The 21,402-nt window shown below is 38.8% G+C and overlaps 1 annotated feature.

The window, feature by feature from the left end:
• Window positions 2,615-2,909: a silencer, noted in NCBI's record as "tiled region #926; K562 Repressive non-DNase unmatched - State 21:Repr". NCBI's record gives its function as "represses a minimal TATA promoter and a strong SV40 promoter by Sharpr-MPRA in K562 cells {active_cell/tissue: K562}" and the evidence as "EXISTENCE:reporter gene assay evidence [ECO:0000049][PMID:27701403]".

Below are 21,402 nucleotides of genomic sequence, written 5' to 3' on the forward strand. Positions count from 1 at the left end.
CCATAAACACTTAGACAGCCTCATTCTCCTGCTTCTCTTCCAACGCTTCCTTCTGCAGTACCTGTTCTTCCGGCTGGCCTTTCCTACTCGGAGGTCTTCATGTGGCTTCAGTATTTCTGTTATCTTATATCATGTGATCTTATGAAAATGTTTCTTTTTAATTTTTAAAATTTTTTTTATTTCAGTAGGTTTTGGGGAACAGGTTGTATGTGGTTACATGAGGAAGTTCTTTAGAGGTGATTTCAGAGATTTTGGTGCACCCACCCCCAAGCAGTGTACACTGTACCCGGTATGTAGTTTTCTATTCCTTGCTACCCTTTCCCGGGTCCCCAGTGTCCATTGTATCATTCTTACGTCTTTACAACCTCATCTCTTAGCCCCCACTTATGAGTGAGAACTTATGATATTTGGTTTTCCATTCCTGAGTTACTTCACTTAGAATAATGGTCTCCAATCTTTTTTAAAATTTTTTTTCCCTTCACATTGAAAGAAGACTGCTGAGACCCTCTATTGCTCCTTCAGAGTTCTGAAAACACTTCACTGAGTTTTCAGATTCCCAGTAGAACTAGTTCAGTTTACCATACTGTTCTCTGGGTTTCATATTTTAGTCTTCTATCCTCAATATACCACTCAGGAGCTCATGGGAAGGTCATGGCTAAGACTGGGAAGAAAGTGCCAAGATTGGGCCGGGTGTGGTGGCTCATGCCTGTAATCACAGCACTTTGGGAGGCCGAGGTGGGCAGATCATGAGGTCAGGAGATCGAGACCATCCTGGCTAACATGGTGAAACCCTATCTCTATTAAAAATACAAAAAATTAGCTGGGTGTGGTGGCGGGCGCCTGTAGTCCTATCTTCTCAGGAGGCTGAGGCAGGAGAATCCCTTGAACCTGGGAGGAGGAGGTTGCAGTGAGCCAAGATCGTGCCACTGCACTCCAGCCTGGGTGACAGAGCAAGACTCTGTCTCAAAAAATAAATAAATAAATAAATAAATAAATATATAAAAATAAAAAGGGCAGGACATGAACGATGACTCCATATAAGAGTTTGCAGGTCTTACCGTGTGTTTCTAACAATCTCCTCTTTCTTCTGCTCAAGCCTGAGCCACAGTATTTCAAGATTGTGACCTCTAAAACTCCAGTTTGAAAAACCAAATCAAACCAAGCCAAAACAGAAACCTGACCCTATTACCCGTTTTAGTTTTTCTCTATGGATAAAATAATACTGAACACAACATATTAATAAACACTAAAATTCTTGGTGTGATTTTTTTAAACCAGATATTGTGTGAGTGTTCCCTATAGATTATTTCAAATAATCCTGAAATGAACGCTTTGAGGTGCGAGTTATAACTAAATGGCAGCTGTATGTTTTACAGTACACCCAGAAAAATTATGGTACACTGGAAAGACCAAACAAGTCCATCCCTGACTCCACCGTGCCTTGAGTGTCCGACCCTGACTTAGTTACTCTGCCGTGAGGTTTGTTTCCCCAGGTGTAATGGAGACAGTAATTCCTACATCAGGATGAGTGTTAAAAGAATGACAAGCTAACGTGTGTAGGGCCTGGTGACCCCTTCTTGATTATAAAGTTTGTATTGACAGGACAATATATATTCGAAAGTAATGTTAAGGAAACTATTGAAATGATTAATACTCTGAGGCTTTTTTTGTCTGTAATGAGTAAGGAATTCAATATGTTAGGAAGGCAACGAGAAGGAAAAAATATCTACTTTCACTGTGAATGTGTTGGGAATCAGGACATGTAATTTTTTTTTTTTTTTTTTTTTTGAGATGGAGTCTCGCTCTGTCACCAGGCTGGAGTGCAGTGGCGCCATCTCGGCTCGCTGCAACTGCCACCTCCCAGGTTCAAGAAATTCTCCTGCCTCAGCCTCCCGAGTAGCTGGGATTACAGATGCGTACCACCATGGCCAGCTAAGTTTTGTATTTTTAGTAGAGACGGGGTTTCACCATGTTGGCCAGGATTGTCTCAATCTCTTGACCTCGTGATCCGCCCGCCTCAGCGTCCCAAACTGCTGGGATTATAGGTGTGAGCCATCATGCCCAGTCGTAATTTGTTGTTTTAGTTTGATATGTATGCATATATACACATAGTTGTGAGTGTGTGTATATATATATATATATATATATATATATAAATTATATTAACAGTAAACTACGTAAAGAAAGCTTATTCTGTAATAGAAAATCAGCTGTCATTTAGAACTGAGTTTTAGTCTAAAAAGATTCCTGCTGGGTTGGCTTAAAATTTAACAGAGAATCTCTAAGAAGCCATAAAATGTATCTGAACATTTAGGTTTTTAAAGATTTAATATTGTAAAATAAATTTTAAAATGAGAACTACAGTAGTAAGAACCTTCATACAACTAAAAACCCATGAGAATTACTTGAAAAACACAACTTGCTTTTAAACAAGTCAGGTCCAGGCAGCTGAGGGAGGTGGTGCCAGCTCAGGAGTGATGAGCAGACACGGGACCATGCCTGCACAAGCCCTTGATTAAGGTGACTGGGCCTCGGTAATGACCGTTTCTACCACGTGGGCCTGTTGTGGAGGATAAAGTGGAGGTGTTGGCTGAGACCCTGAGTGAGAAAGTGCTGATGCCACAGAGCCAGGAGAGAAAGGGGAGCCACCTCCTGCAGGATATGCAGAACCAAGTGGCTCAGACCTGGCAGCCGCTTCTCAGCACTGCCCTCAGCAAGCAAGATGCCCAGAGCTGGAGAGGGGATGAAGAAAGCAGGCTTTTTGGATCATTGTTTTTAAAGTACTGAGTATACATAAATACTTAGAGACTGTGAGTGAGGATGGATGAATACAACCGCATGGGACCACACACGGTTTAAGGCACTTCCTGTTGACGTCCTCTGGCGTTTTCTCCCCATTCCTACATAACCAAAACCCTCAATTATCTTTCTTTGCTTTTTCTTTGTGTCATACATGCATATTCTTTTCAACTCAAGACGAGACAAAGCTAGTTATGAGCCTAACTGGAGTTTGATTCTTTTTCTGTATAGGTTGCATTCAGTGAGTACCCTGCAATGCTTGTTTGTTTTACCCTTTCTGTACCTGTCCTCCCCATCTTTTCCTATGACACAGTTTTGCTGCTGTGAACTTTTCCGTACCTCCCTCCTGGAGCCCATCGGCAAGAATTCTGTGTTTGGCACCTAAAAGTAGAATTTCTGAGCCACAGGCTGTTAACATCTGCAACCTTGCTACATTAACCCAATTAATGACATTAACCCAATTAATGATATTAACCCAATTAATGACATTAACCCAATTAATGTTCATCCTGATTTTACACGTTTACATTCCTGCCAGGGATGAACTCTGGGTGTCCATATTTTAATGTTGCTTTCATGCCTGCTAACCCAACATCCGTTCTGCAGCCCATGGATCAAGGAGTAATTTCGACTTTTGAGTATTACTATTTAAGAAATACAGGAAATGTGGTATATATAATCGTAGAGTACTACTCAGCCACACAAAGAATAAAATTCTGTCATTTTCTGCATCATGGATGAAACTGGAGGACACTATGTTAAATGAAATAAGCTAGAAAAGAAGGTTAAAACACTGCATGTGCTCACTCCTATGTGGAAGCTAAAAATGTTTATCTCATAGAAGTAAAAAGTAGAACAGAGGGAACTAGAGGCTGGGAAGGGCAGGAAGAATGGAGGGACAGGGAGAAATTTGCTGAAGGATGCAAGATTACAGCTTGAGAGGAAGAATAAGTTCTGGGGTCTGATACTACTTTAGGATGACTACAGTCATCAGTAACATGTTACACAGTTTCAAAGAGCTAGAGGGGGATATTAAACTTTTCCAACATGAAGAACTGATACATGTCTCAGATGATGGATATGCAATGACCCCGATCTGATACCATATATTATATGTATCAAAACATCACTTATGTGCTCCATTAATATGTAAAATTTTTATTTGTTAAAAAATACGCAAATACATAAAAAACTTTAAAAAGGAATGCACACGCACAAAAAGAAAGACATTTCATTAGACTGCCATAAATAGTGATTCATCTGATGGGTCTGGGCAAGGTAAGTTGGAAACCAGGAAAGGATTCATCATTTTAGACGCCAGTAGGAACATTTGTGAGTCACGGGAGGGGATCAAAATATCAACATTCATAGGAGTTTTTAAAAGTTTATTTGAGTTCTCCTGGATGACTTTGCAGGGTTCAAGCCTTCAGTGGAGGAAGTGACTGCAGGTGTGGAAATCACGAGAGAACTTGAAGGAGAAGTGGGGCCTGAAGATGGGGCTGAATTGCTGCAATCTCATGATAAATTTGAAAGGATGAGAAATCGCTTCTTGCAGATGAGCTAAGAAATGGTTTATTAAGTGGAATCTACTCCTGGTGAAGATGCCGTGAACATTGTTGAAATGACATCAAAAGATTTAAAATATTAGGTAAACTTAATTGATAAAGTGGCGGAGAACTTTGAGAGATGAACTCCAATTTTGAAAGGAGTTCTACTGTGGGTAAAATGCTGTCAAACAGCATTGCATGCCACGAGGAAATCTTTCACAAAAGGAACAGTCAATTAATGCAGCAAACTTCATTGTTGCCTTATTTTAATAAATGGCCACCCCAACCTTCAGCAGCTACCACCCTGATCAGTCAGCAGCCATCAACGCTGAAGCATCTCCACCACAAAAAGATTATGGCTTGCTGAATGCCCAGATGAATGCCAGCATTTTTAGCAATACAGTATTTAATGAGGGTATGTACCTTGTTTTTTAGACACAGTGGTGTTGCACGCTTTACAGGATACAGTATAACAAAAACACAACTTTAAAATGCATTGGGAAACAAAAACATTGTGTGACTGGCTTTATTGTGATGTTTGTAGAGTCTGGAACTGAACCCACAACATCTCCCAGGTCAGCCTGCATGCCGTTCCTCATGTTCAAATCTACTTGTGTATCTTCCAGATTTTTATCGACTTCTATTTATTTGTTTTTGCTTCACCTTTCCTGTTAAGAGGACTCCAAGGCATTTTCTTATCTGCTTAGTTGCTATTCTCGCTAGTAGTATCTTTTCTTCCCTTGCACCTTCTAGCTGGTTGCTATAGCTCTGGTTGTTGATGTTTTAACCATTACAGAGGGACTACTGATTTCTGCACTTCAGTTTGTCCTGCGACCTTACTGACTTTTTATCCTTTGTAGTAGTTTTTCAGTGGATTCTGTTGGATTATATATGTCTAAATATAATCTGCAAAAAAGTTAAAATAAATAAATATATTTTACTCCTTTTTATTAGTTTTTGGACATCCAATTTCTTTTGTGTCTAGTTGCTTTAGCAAACATTTGCAGTGGATACTAGTAGTGAAAGCGGCGATTCTTGTCTTTTTCCTTAGTTGAGTAAAAATATTTTCTTTGATTCCCAGTAAGTGGAATCCAATACCTTCTTTGATATTTAATTTTTTTAAATCAAGGATAGACGTGTTTTGTCAAAAGAGCTTTCAATATCCATAGAGATGGTCATATAACTTTTTGTTCTTAGACCTGCTAATATGGATTATAGAACAGATTTCCTGATGTCCCTTTGCATCTCTGGAATACACTCTCTCTGGTCATGACATGTTTTTCTGTAGTGTACCATTGGATTCTGTTTGCTAACCTTACAGAAGGTCCCTTGGGCACCTATATGGTCAGAGACACATGGGGGTGCAGCCATGCCTCATCTGTCTCTGAGGACCCAACTAGACTCAGGCCCCTGAAGAGTCTCTGATTTTTAGAAGGTGCATTGTTACATTGCTTTCTGACATCTGCCAGATCTCCCCCTTCAGGCATCCCCTACCTCCCCTACCCTGCAGACCTTGTGCCCGTCTAAGCTGATGCTGTCTTCATTGGGTCCTTCTCGGGTGGCTCTCTCCTGGCTGTGCTTGCTCTTGACAATGTCAGAAATCCCTGCACCCCTTTTCTCACCTGTTAGAACGTCCTGGGCTCCCATGAGGGCTTATGAAAACGTTCTTGGTCTTTGTTGTTTTTGGCAGCCCTTACAGGCAATTGAGAGTTCACAGATTTATTTCGTGATAATTGGGTTGGTGGGGAATTTTTTCCTGTCTTTCTTCTTGTAGCTTGCATGGTTAGAGGAGAAGTGAGTGGATTCAGAATGATGCTTTCTGCATGTTTCTAGTGGAAACCTGTGATTGAGAAAGCACGTTCGGGGGGCGAGCTCTGTGCCCCGTGCCCCTGTTCAGGGGCTGTTTCTAGTGGAAACTGTGACTGAGAAAGCGCTTTTGGGGGGCGAGCTCTGGGCTGAGTGCCCCTGTTCAAGGGCTGGAGGAGGCTCCTGCTTCCTCCCTCAAGGATGCTCTTCAAGTGTGGGGAGCTCCCAGGGGAGAGCCCAGGGGCTTCCTCTTTCCCCACAGGTCAGAGAGGGCTTTGGGGGAGACAAGTGGAGCTTGGTAGGGGTCCCTTTGGGCAGTGGGGCACAGGTTGACTGGGCTTGCCTCCTTTTAGGTGAGATAGATCCACACACACACACACTTCTGCCTCACATGCACAGCTGTCTTCTGGATTAAAATTCTTCTATCACTTGCCACTTACTCTTTTGCATTAGCCCCCAAGTTACCGAATCCAATCTACTCAGCTCCCTGACACTTTTCTGGACTCCTGTCTCCTAGGTCGTGCCATCCTATAAAATCCGTTCATTCTATTACTCTGATTTTGTAAAAGAAGCAACTCTGCACATCCGTGACTCAAATATCTACTTTCTATAATTTGAAAGGGGTTGGGATTTTTCCCTGGCTATGTAAGTATGTAAGTTGTGTTTTTCTTTCAGATGGCTGAGAATTGAGTTCAATTCATTCCCATAGTTTATCATTCCCACAGATTTTATGGTCCAGCGTAGACAGCATGCATGCCAGAGATATGATGGAGTGTGGTCTAAATGTAAAAGGCCATGCTCAAGCAGTTCCCTGCCAGAGCCTTAACTCACCCCTCCAGCTCTTTATTCTAGCTGTCCTTGTGATGAAAACCATTTTCAAGTGAATCTGTCATTACCCACATGTCACTCAATAGGGCTCAGTGCATTGTCTTCATCGCAGGCCTCACTGGAGTGGAGGGAACCGTTCCACCTTCTCCTCACTATTCAGTGCAGCCATTGTCTGTCCAGTCTTCATGTTAGGGTAATAACGACTCCAACTGCGTCATGAATAGAACTTAAGGAAAATAGGGATGGACAAGAGAAGACGGTATTTCTTTTTCTTTTCTTTTCCTTTTTTTTTTTTTTTTGGCAGCACGAAGAGGTAATTATATGTAATTTGAAGTAAAATTTCCATTCACTGTTACTTTCCCAACCTAACATGGTCCTCCCAGCAATATGACAAGAAGGGCCACAAAGTACTCGTTTGGGAAACTGCATTGTTTCTCGCAAGATCAACATACTTCTATTCATTTTTCCAGAAAATTTACTGATTTCTTGTTTTGTAGACACAGGGTTACTCACTTCTTTAATGCAGTTATTCACATCATCCTAGTTTTATTTCAGTTTACATTCAATATGATAAGGGAACCTCCGTATTACAAGTCACTCACATCCCCTGTTGTAGAAAGAATGAGCACGTTCATGTCTCCTGAGCGTTGAAGCCGCCCCAGACATCAATTTTGATTAGTCAGAGAAAGTGTACAGAAATCCTGAATATATGATCATAAACAGCAATTGTTTCTAGGAATTTACATGTTGACCTTTCAGATAATACATCTTTTATTCATGTGACATTTTGAAACTTTTTGGAAATATGGATGAACATTGTTTACATCATAAGGTACACATCTGTATTAAAACACGTAATTCATATGTGTAATAATTCGGGAAGAAAGTTGCATTTAAACCTTCACAGCAACAACAACAGCAAAATGCTATTCCGTAACCTTGAACTATACTTTGCTGTGACAGCTGGAAAACGGGAATTGTGCAACCATTTGCTGGTATGAGGTTTGTTCACCTTATGATTTGATATTTCTGCAAAGGCCCTGTGAGGTTCTCTAGCACAAGACTCTAGTTGAGTGGGGAATGTTGTGTCCGGCGTTGTTGGAAGCTCATCCATTCTCTGACTGAACACCTCCAGCCTTGGTGCCATTGTTTCTCCAGTGATTTTGGGTGTCTGAAGTGAGTTATCAGAAAGAATCCTCAGGAACGTTCCATGGGAACACAATTCTCTGAGTTCTTGCTTGTTGATATTCCTTTCTTCTTGAAAGACAATTCAGCTGTACATGAAACTGTCTCACATTTTCTTTTCTCGAGGGTTTTTTTTTTTTTTTGGCAGAGTGTTGCCCAGGCTGGAGTGCAATGGCGCAATCTCGGCTCACTGCAACCTCTGTCTCCCAGGTTCAAGAGATTCTCCTTGCTCAGCCTCCTGAGTAACTGGGATTACAGGCATGTGCCACCACGCCCAGCTAAATTTTGTATTTTTAGTAGAGACGGGGTTTAACCATGTTGGGCAGGCTGGTCTCAAACTCCTGAACTCATGTGATCCACCCACCTTGGCCTCCCAAAGTGCTGGGATTACAGGCGTGAGCCACCTTGCCTGGCCTTGAGTATCTTAAATATGTAACTCCACTGTCTTTGACATAAAGCATCACTTTTGAAAGTCTAATGTCAACACGATGATTTTCTTTCCTATATAAGTCACTTCATATTGTTGGTGTTAGTAATAGTATTGTTTTTGTGAAACTTTTGTAGGCATATTGTGGAATAAAGAGCATGCATTAATTTGTTGGTTAATGATCTTGACAAAAATGTATCAGTCTTTTCCAGATAGTTACCCCCGCTTCTGACATTTGATATGATAATTATTTAGATACAGTGTGGTCATGAATTTATAAAATATATTTAAATAACTACTATCTGATTGAAAAAATATTTTGTGGAAGCATTTTACTAAGAATTTCTTTTTTGGAAGTGTTTCGTTTATATAATTTAAAATATACCTTCTCTATGGGATACTAATTCAAATAGCACTTAGGAATACATTTTTAAAATGAAACAAAATAAAACAATTTTTTATCAATGCATTGCAAGAATGCAATTTTAAATTACTAAACCTCACATTTTTACATGAAAAAATATGCTGTGAAGGAGGTTGTCTTTCCTCAAATTAAAGAAATATTTTATTAGAAAAGACATTTTCTTTAAGAAGTCAGTGCGTAATTCTTTTTGATAAATACACATATCAAAGTGAAGATAATCTATAGAGTCATTTTCATGATATCTAATGGTTTCCTGGATAAAATACTAGATGTCACAATTATATATTTGATTCATGGTATTACCAACCAAAATGTAGACATTACAATGTCTACCTAGTAAGTAAAATGTGTATTTTTCTTCCTTTATAATTAATGTGCTGAGGTGCAGAATGACCTCACCATAGTATTGGAAATGATGACTTATTTTCACAACCGAGGGCGATATAACAGAGGAACTCGGTCCCTGACAAGAGCCAGAAGCCCTGGATTTGAATCAAAGTTTTTTTCAAATAGCAGGACAAGTTATTTATTCTCTCTGTGCTTCACTTTTCTCATCTGCAAAATGGGGATAATAATGGTACGTAGGTCATAGGATCATTATATTAATATATGACAGTATTTGGAATGGTGGCTAGTGTGAAGTAAGCCCTGTATAAATATTTTCTTTGCTAATTGTGATGGCAATAGTGGTGATGATGTTGGTGATGATGATGATAATGGTGATGATGGCAATAGTGATGATGACAGTGATGATAAGAGTCATGGTAATGGTGATGATGGTGATGGTGATGATGATGGTGATGATAAGAATCATGGTAATGGTGGTGATGATGATAATGATGATGATGATAGTGATGATGATGGTAATGATGATGACGGTAATGATGATGGTGGCGAATATGTCTCCTTTCAGGATTTTATCTATTTCTAGGTAGTGCCTACTCAAATTGCTACTGTAGGTTTCACAGTACCTCATGCCAACAAATTAAAAAGTTTATTTATTTATTTATCTTTGGTTAGAAAGGTTTTTGGTGTATATTAACTGAATTTGTCTAATTAAAGTTCAAATGTATTTTCTTAAAGTAAAATAAGGATATTAGAATGTAAAGATCCCCTATTTTCCTCAATTAAAATTGAAAATAAATATTAAGCCTTATTTTAATAAATTAGATTTCTTTGTTCACTAACTTTATCATGACTTCAACAAACTGTCGATGAAATGCTTGGACCTTTTGATTTGTCCTACACTATGTTTTTTAAAATAACCAGTTAGTCATTTCATTTTAGGATAAAAATTCATCATATAAGGTGCTTTCTCATACAAAATTATTTTTTCTTTTTTGAGACTGAGTTTCACTCTTGTTCCCCAGGCTGGAGAGCAATGGCATAATTTTGGCTGACTGCAACCTCCACTTCCCGGGTTCAAGCAATTCTCCTGCCTCAGCCTCCCGAATAGCTGGGATTACAGGCACTTGCCACCATGCCCAGCTAATTTTTGTATTTTTAGTAGAGAAGGGGTTTCACTATATTGGCCAGGCTGGTCTTGAACTCCTGACCTCAAGTGATCCGCCCACCTCGACCTCCCAAAGTGCTAGGATTACAGGCATGAGCCACCATGCCAAGCCCCAAATTATTTTTTTTTATAATCTTCCTTACCAAAAATACATCTTTATATATCTAACCTTTTTACCTCCCTCTCTCCTACTTACTCTTTTTATACCTTGTTTTATAAATAACTTTTAAATAATCTCCAAATTACATAAAATTATCATTTATTTTTCCAATAAGAATACAACGTACAGAATTTTATTTTCATTAGAATTCTTATTCTTAGTAAACTTAAATTTTAGTGAAAACCTAGGAAGCAAGAAATCCTGAACTGCTTTTCAGATGTTAGCATTTCATAGATGAAGTAATTCTGCAATTTTTAGAAACGTGTTTTTTCATATCATAATCCCTTCTTAACTGGGAATAACCCATACATCTAATGAGCTTTTATTAATTATTTAATTCAAAATAATTTAAAGATATTAAATTACACAAAATGTTTACCTACAAGCATTTATCCTATTTATATATAATTAGTTCTTTCATTTTTTAACAGTTTATATGACTTCTTGAAAACTTAGATATTAGACAAAGCTGGTCATTATTTCAAGTTAATTCTTTTATTAACCATTTTTATAGCCAGTGAATATCACGTGTTCATCTAAGGGAGAAATTTAAAGTTAAATACATGGGTGTTTTTACCACTAACCTAGAAGATTTAGCTGTTTTTATTGAATCGACAACACTAAATTAGTCTTATGTGTCAAAAAAAATTACATAAAGATTATGTTTGAATAGGATTATATTATTACAAACTTCGTGCCAAACCCTGACATCTTAAAATATCCAACAGAGGTAAATATAAAATAATTAGTAGACCCAGGCAAAAATGTTAACAATTTTGAAGACATTCAAAATGTTTTTGATTTTTTTTTTTTTTTGAGATGGAGTTTCGCTCTTGTTGCCCAGGGTGGAGTGCAATGGCACGATCTCAGCTCACCACAACCTCCGCCTCCCAGGTTCAAGTGATTCTCCTGCCTCTCAAGTAGCTGGGATTACAGGCATGCACCACCACGCCCAGCTAATTTTGTATTTTTAGTAGAGACAGGGTTTCTCCATGTTGGTCAGGCTGGTCTCGAACTCCTGTCCTCAGGTGATCTGCCCACCTCGGCCTCCCAAAGTGTTGAGATTACAGGCATGAGCCACTGCACCTGGCCTTGATTTTATCAATAATTTCAAAACAATTTTTATTTGTCAAAGAGTACTAAATTTGTGTGAACTTGAAGAGCATGTGGACTTAATTTATGAGTACTCATTACTTATAAACCATTTGGTAGTATGCTAGACATAACAGACATAACATACAGCATAATACACATGCGCGCACACACACACACACACACACAGACACACAAATATCCAATAGCTTTTACCTTGGAATTTTAGCCATGAGACAGCAATACTAACTCACCGTTTTATAAAAGATAGTGACATATATGTATATGTACATAACTACCTCAAACTTCATTGAGAGAGAGAATAAACTGCCTTATTACTTATATTTACAAGATAATATATGCCTATATTCTTTATAATGTTGTCATCTTTAAGAACAATATTTAAATTTGATTTTTAGTCTGTTTTTAGGATCTAAGCAAACTAGGGTTGATCTGAGTTTTATAGTAAATAGAAAATAGTAACGTCTACAATCCCTTAGGAGGTTTACGTAAGGTTAAAGTATTTATACTGATAATAGTTAAATTTAAAACTAACTGATCTCTGCATAAAGCTTGCCGTGGACAGGGTTATGATGAAGACACAGTGTGGGTTTAACATGTTGCTTGGTTTTCTTTTTTTATTCCACGTTCAGATGCTCTCACATCAACACTGCAATGTCCCCTGTGAGGAGGCCTGGAGCCAAGCTCACTCCTTCCGGGCTTCTTTGTCTGCTAATGTGGAAATGGGCCTAATGATTCAAGAATGCACATCTGTAGACAAATGAGGAACTTTTTTGGAAATGCCTTAAACTCATAGAGACATATTACCAGTAGAATGCTAACCAGCACAGCAGCCCAGCAGGGTAGGCAAGATTGCTGGTACACTTAAGTCAAATGATATGCTAATATAAAATGACTGATATATATTTTATTCTAATCTGACTTTATGTAATTAAGTTTACTTCTGGTATGTATACATCAATGCACGGCTGAATTTTCAGAATATTATTACTTTTACATGTAAGTTCTGCTATGGTTACAGCAGAAATTTGATGTTTCCTTTCTATATTTTATTACTTTTCACACGTATACGTTTTTTTTAGACACAAGCTTCTGACATGCCATTGCAGATATTATGCAAGGAATATATAAACTAGAACAGCAGCTGGGAACACGGCCCGGAAAAGATTCCTGCTCTGAAGAATGTTGCTTTCCCTTCAGATTGCTAGCACCCCAGGAAACCACTTGTCTTGATGTATATTCAAAATAATTGCAAATGTGTAAACCCTTTAATCAATGTATAAGGAATAGAAAAGTGTGCTTGTCTAAAACATGTTTGTCAGCTGTAGCCGGCTTCATCTCCTGACTGACATCTGAAAAATGAACTTTAAGTTTAATGGAGGTTCTAAATGTCTCTGAATATGAAGTCTTTATAACAGAAATATTCAGATGATCACATTTTCCTTTTTTTTTTTGTATGGACATTGTGGTGGCACATATCTCAGATCTTTTAAATTCTCAGCTTTTCTCAGCTGGCTGATCTATAAAATGCAGAAGTTGATGTTAAATTCTTGAATAGCTACCATGTTTAACATTCTATCTTTGGCCCTGTATTTAAGGCCCCGTATTGCAGGCATAGCCAAGAACAGAAGGGTGTGGGAGCTTTTCTGCAATAAGCTTGTAGTGTGTTCGGGAGGTGAGGCATAAACTTTGGAAACATTAAGGAGTCCCATAAAAGCATATGCAGTGATGACAAAGACTTTGTCTATGAAATTCAAACTGTGATCTCAAACAGAGACTGAAAATGTCCTGCACTTGTCTCTTGACGATCCAAGGAACATCCTTTCCTAGTGTCACCTGGCAGAGAACCCAGGGGTCTTGCTGGATGATGAAGAATCAGGCTGGTGCAGGCACATCAGAGACCAGAAGATTCCCAGGCCTGGAGTGGAAACTCTCTAGATGTCTGATCAAAAGGACAGTACCACCTGTAATCCCAGCACTTTGGGAGGCCGAGGTGGGCGGATCACTTGAGGTCAGGAATTCAATATGGTGAAACCCTGTCTCTACTAAAAATACAAAAAATAGCCAGGTGTGTAATGTCTACAATCCCTTAGGAGGTTCACGTAAGGTTAAAGTATTTATGTTGATAATAGTTAAATTTAAAAATAATTGGTCTTGTGTAGCGCTTGCTGTGGACCAGGTTATGATGAAGAAAAAGTGTAGTTTTAACCACCCATGTTTCTTGCTTTTTGTTTTTTATTCCACCTTCAGATGCTCTCATATCAACACTGCCAGGTTCCCTGTGAGAAGGCCTAGAGCCAGGCTCACTCCTTCTAGGCTTCTTTCTCTGCTAATATGTCTTCAACTCGAATCCATCACTACATGGGTTCTTCCTGCCATGTCGCCTTCCTTTTCTGTGACCTTCTCCCCAACAGTGAGAAACTTGGCACCAGCAGCCACCATCCATTCACGTCACTGTTCAATTTCAGTACATGCATAGCAGACTCAGAATTGTTACCCTGTACCCTGATGGGGAACAGCCTGTCAACTAGGGCACAGTACATATGTGCAGCACATTTTGATTTTAGTCTTGCAGACTCTGCTCATTCCCAAAGTTCCTTAGGTCAGCACCTTTCCCCTTTCTCCTTCAGTGAGGTTTCAAACATTTTCATACAATTGATAAAATTTGATACAATTAGACTCTTCCACCAACACCAAGCTGTCACGATTACTTTATACCTATCTGATTCTCATATTTAATGTGTATTCTTGTAAACAACATATAGTTGAGTCTTATTTTCTATTCATTCCTTCCCTAAATGTTCTTCTTCATGCAGATGCAAGTTTCTGACTAATAATATTTTCCTGTCCAAAGAACTACTGTCATTTTTTGGTGTGCAGGACTACTGGAGATGATTTCTGTTTTTGTGTATTTGAGGTCAGAGAAAGTCTTTTTTGTGCTTCATTTTAAAGGATAACTTTACTCCATATAGAATTTTAAGTTGGTATTTCTTTTACTTTCAACTGTTTAAATATTTCACTCTATTTTCCACCTGAATAATTTAGTGTTGATGAGAAGTCCACAGAAATTCTTATCCTGCTTCCTCTGTAGTTAAGATTTCCCCTCCTCTGTTTTAACAAGGTTTTCTTATCATCTTTAGTTTACTGTGGTTTGAATATGATAGGTCTGTGTGTGGATTCTTTTTTGTTTTTAATATGTGTATTGCTCCACATTCTCTAACACTGTGAGTCTATGGTTTGGTATGTGTTATTAATTTTGGAAAGACTTTGGCTATTATTAATTCAAGTATATCTTTGCTTGGTTCTTTCTCACCCTTCTAGTATTCCAATTTGTTGTATGCTGTACTTTAGAGTCCTTGGGCATTCTGTTCTGTATGTTTCATTATTTTCTTCTACATGTTTCAGTTTACGAAGTGTCTGTTGACCTATGTGCAGTCTCAATGATTTATTTATTCATTTATTTATTTATTTTTGACAAGAGTCTCATCTCTGTCACCCAGGCTGGAGTGCAGGGGCACAATCTTGGCTCACTGCAACCTCTACCTCCCAGGTTCAAGCGATTCTCCTGTCTCAGCCTCCCGAGTAGCTGGGATTACAGGCATGTGTCACCACACCCAGCTAATTTTTGTATTTTTAGTAGAGATGGAGTTTCACCATGTTGGTCAGTCTTGTTCCAAACTCCTGATCTCAGGTATCTGCCCACCTCGGCCTCCGAAAGTGCTAGGATTACAGACGTGAGCCACCACCCTCAGCCTCATTGATGTATAACTCTGCTGTGTTGAGTCTACTTGTGAGCCTATCAAAGGTTTTCTTCATTTCTCTCACTATGTTTGACTGATCATGCTTTATCTTGATTCTGAGAGTTTTAATCTCTCTGCTCACAGTATCTGTTCCCAGCTCTTTTCTGCTTTTTCCATTAACATTAACATGTTAAGAGCCCTAATGGAAAAAGCAGAAAAGATAATTGTATGATAATTCCAATGTGTGTATCATATCTGTGTCTGTTCCTGATAATTACTCATCTCTAGCCTTTTGGCACATCTTGTAATTTTTTTTGAAAGCCAGACATTGTATCACATCACAGGAACTGAAGGACATACACTTTTAGTGAGAGGATTTATGCTCGTCTGGCTAGAGCTGGGCTGTTTCTAACGTGAGCTACAGCTGTAGTTCCTGGAGACTTTAAAATCCTCCATTGTCCTTGTCTTTGCCTCCTCTCTTGACTTTGGGCTTCCCTAGTTTCTGTTCTTCACACAGCGCCTTGGAGCTCCTTCAACTGGAATCCACTGTTAAGGCGAGCCCAGCTGGTGTGGAGATAAGGTGTGGGGGAAGGGAGCATCCCATATCCTCTGGATTAAATTTCAGCATTTTCTTGGCCTGTTTCTTGAAGCTGAGACTTTCACAGTGTTCACCGTGGTGCAGCCTTTCCTCCTCCTGTTCCGTACTCACTTTCTTGGCTGCAGTGCTCCCCAGTCTATTTCCTTAAGGCCCTCACTGTGTTGGCTTTGTTTTATATACTGTGTTGGCTTTGTTTTATATACATATACGCATATGTGTTTGTGTGTGTGTGTCTGTGTGTGTGTGTGTGCATATAGGTGAGACAAGAAGACTAGAGGTTCCAGAGTGGGAGGGCTGTTCTTCCCACCTGGTATAAAGCTCTGACAGAGTTTTTCCTCCTGTAGAGTAGGCTTTTGCTATAAAGAGGGTTCTGGGTGAATTTCAACGTGATCACTCTTCCTCTCTCTCTGCTGAAGCCATGAGGAATCATTCATGGATCTCTATTGTGAGAACTGTTAGGATATCTGGGTGGAAAGTGACAGCAGTAGGTGTCTGGTTCTGCAGGCCCCCGATATTGGGATGCACAGTCAGCCCCAGCAATTCATCAGAGTGACCATTGACATGTCCCTACCAGTTCATATCTCCAGTGTCTTCTGCTCTAGGTGAGCAGATCCTGGCGACTTTCTGGACACAACTGTCTCCAAGATGTCAAGGTGGTACGTGGTCCTGTAATCTAAGTCTCTGATGGCTCTAAGAAAATTCATTGATTTTTTTTCAGTTTGTTTCTTTTCTTATTGTAAGGTTGGGAGTGACAACTTATAAGCCCTTTATATGTCAGAGCCTCACAATCCTGTTTCCAGGGTCATGCTTAGATTTTGCTTTTAGGCTTATGCTAACCTCATAAAAGGAATTAAAAATGCTACAATTTTTTTTTCTAAAAGACAAAGATAATTTTGCTTTTGAAGTTAATGTTTAAATTTTTATTTAAATTGGGGTTATGAAATAAAAATATTACTAAATAATTAAAAATACTAAAGCTTTATTTCTTTTAATAAGATATTCTGATTTGATAATATGACTTCTAAAATAATTTTAAAAACTATATTTGATTGAGGCTTTTTTAGCTTTCCCTGGAATCTAGTTTGTTGTTCTAAGTATATTTTTGATAAATTTTTAAATATTTGGGCTGAAATTTTATATCAAATTACCACACAGACTGTAGGAAAAACTCTAGGGTAATTTTGATAATTGATGCAGAGGAATGAAGTTTAACTTCCTGGCAGAGCATCTTTCTGTTCATTTCATTTCACTTTAATCCAATTAAAAATATACATACTAGTCTCCACCCTTGAACATTAATGGATTGACTCATTTTTTCAGGTACCTGTCGTACTGGGCACTGGGAACTGGAGATACAAAACTAATTAGGATTGTTTGTCTGATCTAAATAAGGAATAATCTTCTAGACAGATAGAGGAGGGAGAAAGAGAGGTAGACAGAGAGAGAAAGAGAGAGAGACACAGGGAGAGGCTGACCAAAAGAGAGAGAACATGAGGCTTAGAGCAGGAGAGTAGTCTGGTAGATGCTGTAACTCAGCACAGGCTTGTTTGAAGAGAAGTCAAGACAGATTTTAGCATGAGAAACTCTTGACAGCATCCAGGGACAGCATCAGTGCAGTGATTTTTCTAGATGCAACTTAAGAGACGAGCAAGACTTTCATGTTTGTACAAGAGGGAGAGAGACATCATGGGCAGATGAACCAATTTCTACAGAGACCAGTAGGCATGAAGCAGCATGATAAACCCAGTGAGTGTAAGTCTAGCGTGAGGCTGGAATTAAGATTCATAGAAGTCAACTATGAGGGGTGTGAGATTGGAGGAGACAGACAGGGATTGTGTTACAAAAAGATTTGTATGCCATGAAAAGTAATTTGAGTTCCATCTTGTAGGCAACAGATCGTGGATGTGTCTTAAGTTACAGAAGATTCTAACCAGACTTTCATAGAAGAAGGATTCTTCCTGTTGTGGTGGCATCGATGGATAGTTCTTTTCCAGGAGTTCACTAGAGAGATATTAGAATGTTTGACAATGTGCTGATTCATACAAATATGGTTAGGGCATTTCCAAATTTTCTGAGAAGTTCTAAAGTGTTGACAAATAAATTAGACCACTAAAGAAGTCTGCAATAAATGCTAATGCAATAGTAGAAAAAGAAATGTTCTATGAGCAAGGAATTGGGAAGAAATTTATTCAGTTGCAAAATAGAAGGGGTTCATGCAGAAACGTATCTTAATGTAAGTTAAACAAAGCTCCCTTTTTAGACAAGAAATATTCGTTATTGCTTATGATTCTGAGCAGATATTCTGCTGGTTTCTTGTGGGACATTCGTGCAGCTGTGTTCAGGGGTGGTGACTGCAAGCCAGGCTCTGTGAGTTTTGGTTGCCTCATTGAGCTCTCCCCTCCATGAGCTCAGGTATCCTACACCAGGAACAATGAGGTCGGATGCCTTGGGGATGCGTGGAGGGACGGGGTAGTGGTCCCTTGCCTAGTTTACCTTTCTACAGTTGACTTTTAGAACAAACTTAATGTTTCACAGTCTAAAAGTGAATAAATACATAAAATCCACAAGTATGGAAAAGATAACTACAAAAAGAAAGAAAAACAGAATAAAATGAGTGAACTTAACGTTTTTCAAATGAGTGGCCTCAGCACACTGAAGGGTGAGGAGAGGAGAGTGAGTCTAAGTGGCTCTGGGATGCACTGTTTGTGAGCACCGTGCTTTGGCTCTGTAAATACGGAGGTGTGGTTTAGAAATGATGCAACTACTCTCTGCAGCTTTTCATAAGAAAATAAATAAATAGATTGTGGTACCGGGAATAATGTGAGTGGGGCAAGCCTAGAAGAAACCTTCTGGTGTTGGATTGGGATCAGAGAGATCAGTGTGAACTCATGATTTTTAACACACATGTATAGAATTTAAAAAATAGATAGATATAGATGATAAATGGAAATGGACATAGATATAGATATAGAAGTGTGTGTATCTATATCTGCATTTATGCATATACATTTCCTATCTTTGCCCTGTATATACATACATTTCAAGCAGCAACAAGCATGCCTAGCACTCAGTTCTGGCTGTAAATATTGTTCTTCAGTAAAGGTAACCTGGGTTCATTAGAGATGTGGCTGATGCTTGTGCTGGGGTAAGAAAGGCTCCAGCTGCCCCATTACCAGATGGTTAGCAAGGGCTCTTGAGATGCAGGGGTCCCACTGGCCAAGTCTGGGACAATTTGAGTGACAAAATGATTGATGGCAATGGGCTATGTACCCCTGAATAGAATAAGAATCTACAAATGCATACTAGGTATGTACAAATAGATAACGAATAAATGGAAGAGAAGGGAAACCTCTTCCATATGGTAGGAATCTAGCTAATAAAGATAAAGGGAAGATGGAATTACAATCTCACCATTTGGTAACGACTTTAGTTGGAGAAGAATCACCAATGGTCATTAAAATTATGCAGAAATAGTCAGAAAAATAAGATATCTATATATTTGTTAGTTACAGAATACCTAAATATTTATTAGTTGCTAAAGGAAAAATAGGAACTTTATAGCAGGTTCCATCTTACTGTAGTAATCACGTGATCAAGTTAATATCACAGTGATGGGACGAGCTGACCTCCTGTGCTCTCAGACACAAGGAACATACTGACAAGAACACATCACATTGCCTCTGTGCATCTCCTCCAATATTTCATAACCTAGATCTGATCAGGAGGAAGCATCCAGTGAACCCAAATGGAAGTTATTCTTCAAAACAACTGTTCTCCACTCTTTAGTGTCAAGATTGTGAAACACAAAGAAAGATGGAGGAATTGTCCCTGATTACAGGGGACTAAGAAGATGCCCAAGTAAATGTGAGGATGGTCGGGTTTGGCTTCTGCACCAGATCAGGAGCACGAAGGTAACTGGCAAACCCGGATCAAGTCTGTGGGGGAGAAAATAGGATGCTGTCCACATTCACCTCTTCATTTTCACAATCAGATTGTGGTTATGAAATGGTCTATTTTTAGAAATACACACTGAAATTTTAATAGGTAAAGCGTCAAATGTGTCTGCAACTTGTGCTTATAATTTTCTGAAACTACAAACATGCACACACACAAACTGCATGTATAGACAGTAAAGGAAGGGTCGTCACATGTTAACGTGGGAATTCTCTTTTGCAGCTTCTTTGTAAACCTGAAAATATTGTGTGTGTGTACGTGTGTGTGTGTGCATGCGTGTGCACCTGTAGTTCTTTGCAGTTTTATCACGTGTAGATTTGCGTGACCACCAAGACAAGAAAAAAACGCACAAGGACAAACCCAACACAAGAGCCCCCTGCACACCTCTTTTATAGCCACAGCTGCCTCTCTTCCTCTCCACTCCCTAATAATTGGCAACTACTCATTTGTTTCCCATCTCCACAAATGCAGCATTTTAAGAATGCTATATAAATGGATTCAGACAATAGGGAATTCTTTGAGACTGGCGTAGTTAGCATAATTCCTGTGACGTCCGCTCGAGTTGTTATGTGTACCAATACTTTGCTCCTTTTTATTGCTGAGTAGTATTTTTTGCTGTGAATGCACTGCAGTTTATTCATCCGTGGAAGGACAGTTAGGATGTTTTCAGTATGGGCTCTTGTGAGTAAAACTTCTATGTTCATATAGGCTTCGTGTGAACATGCTTCCATTTCTCTGGGTCAACTGCCAAGAGTAAGAAGCCGCCATGCTGTTTTCCTGAGTGGCTGTTCCATGTTAAATTCCCACCAGCAATGTATGAGTGACCCAGTTTCTCCACCTTCTCAACAGCATTTGGTTTTATGACTATTTTTTTTACGTTAGCCACAGTGATATCTCACCGTGGTTTTATTTTGTGTTTTCCTGCTGCTAATGTCGTTGAACATCTTTGCATGCATTGATTTATCATCTGCATAACCACTTCAGTGAAATTTATCTTGCATTTTGCTCATTTTTGAATTGGATATTTGCTTTATTAATGTGTAATTTTGAGTTATTTATTATTCTATATGTTAGCCTATATTGGGTCTGTGGTTTGCAAATATTTTCTCTTAATTAGTAGGTTGTCTCTTTATCCTCTTAATGCGTATTTCACAGATCAAACTGTTTAATTTTGATGAGGTCCAGTTTATCAATATTTCTTTTTATGAATCGTGCTTTTGGTGTGAAGACTAAGAACTCTTTGCCTAGTCCTAGTTTCCACAGGTTATGTCCTATATTTTTCCCTAAAAATTGTATAGTTTTATATTT

This window comes from Homo sapiens, chromosome 18 (assembly GCF_000001405.40).
Source record: "Homo sapiens chromosome 18, GRCh38.p14 Primary Assembly".
In the NCBI taxonomy this organism is placed as follows: Eukaryota; Metazoa; Chordata; class Mammalia; order Primates; family Hominidae; genus Homo; species Homo sapiens.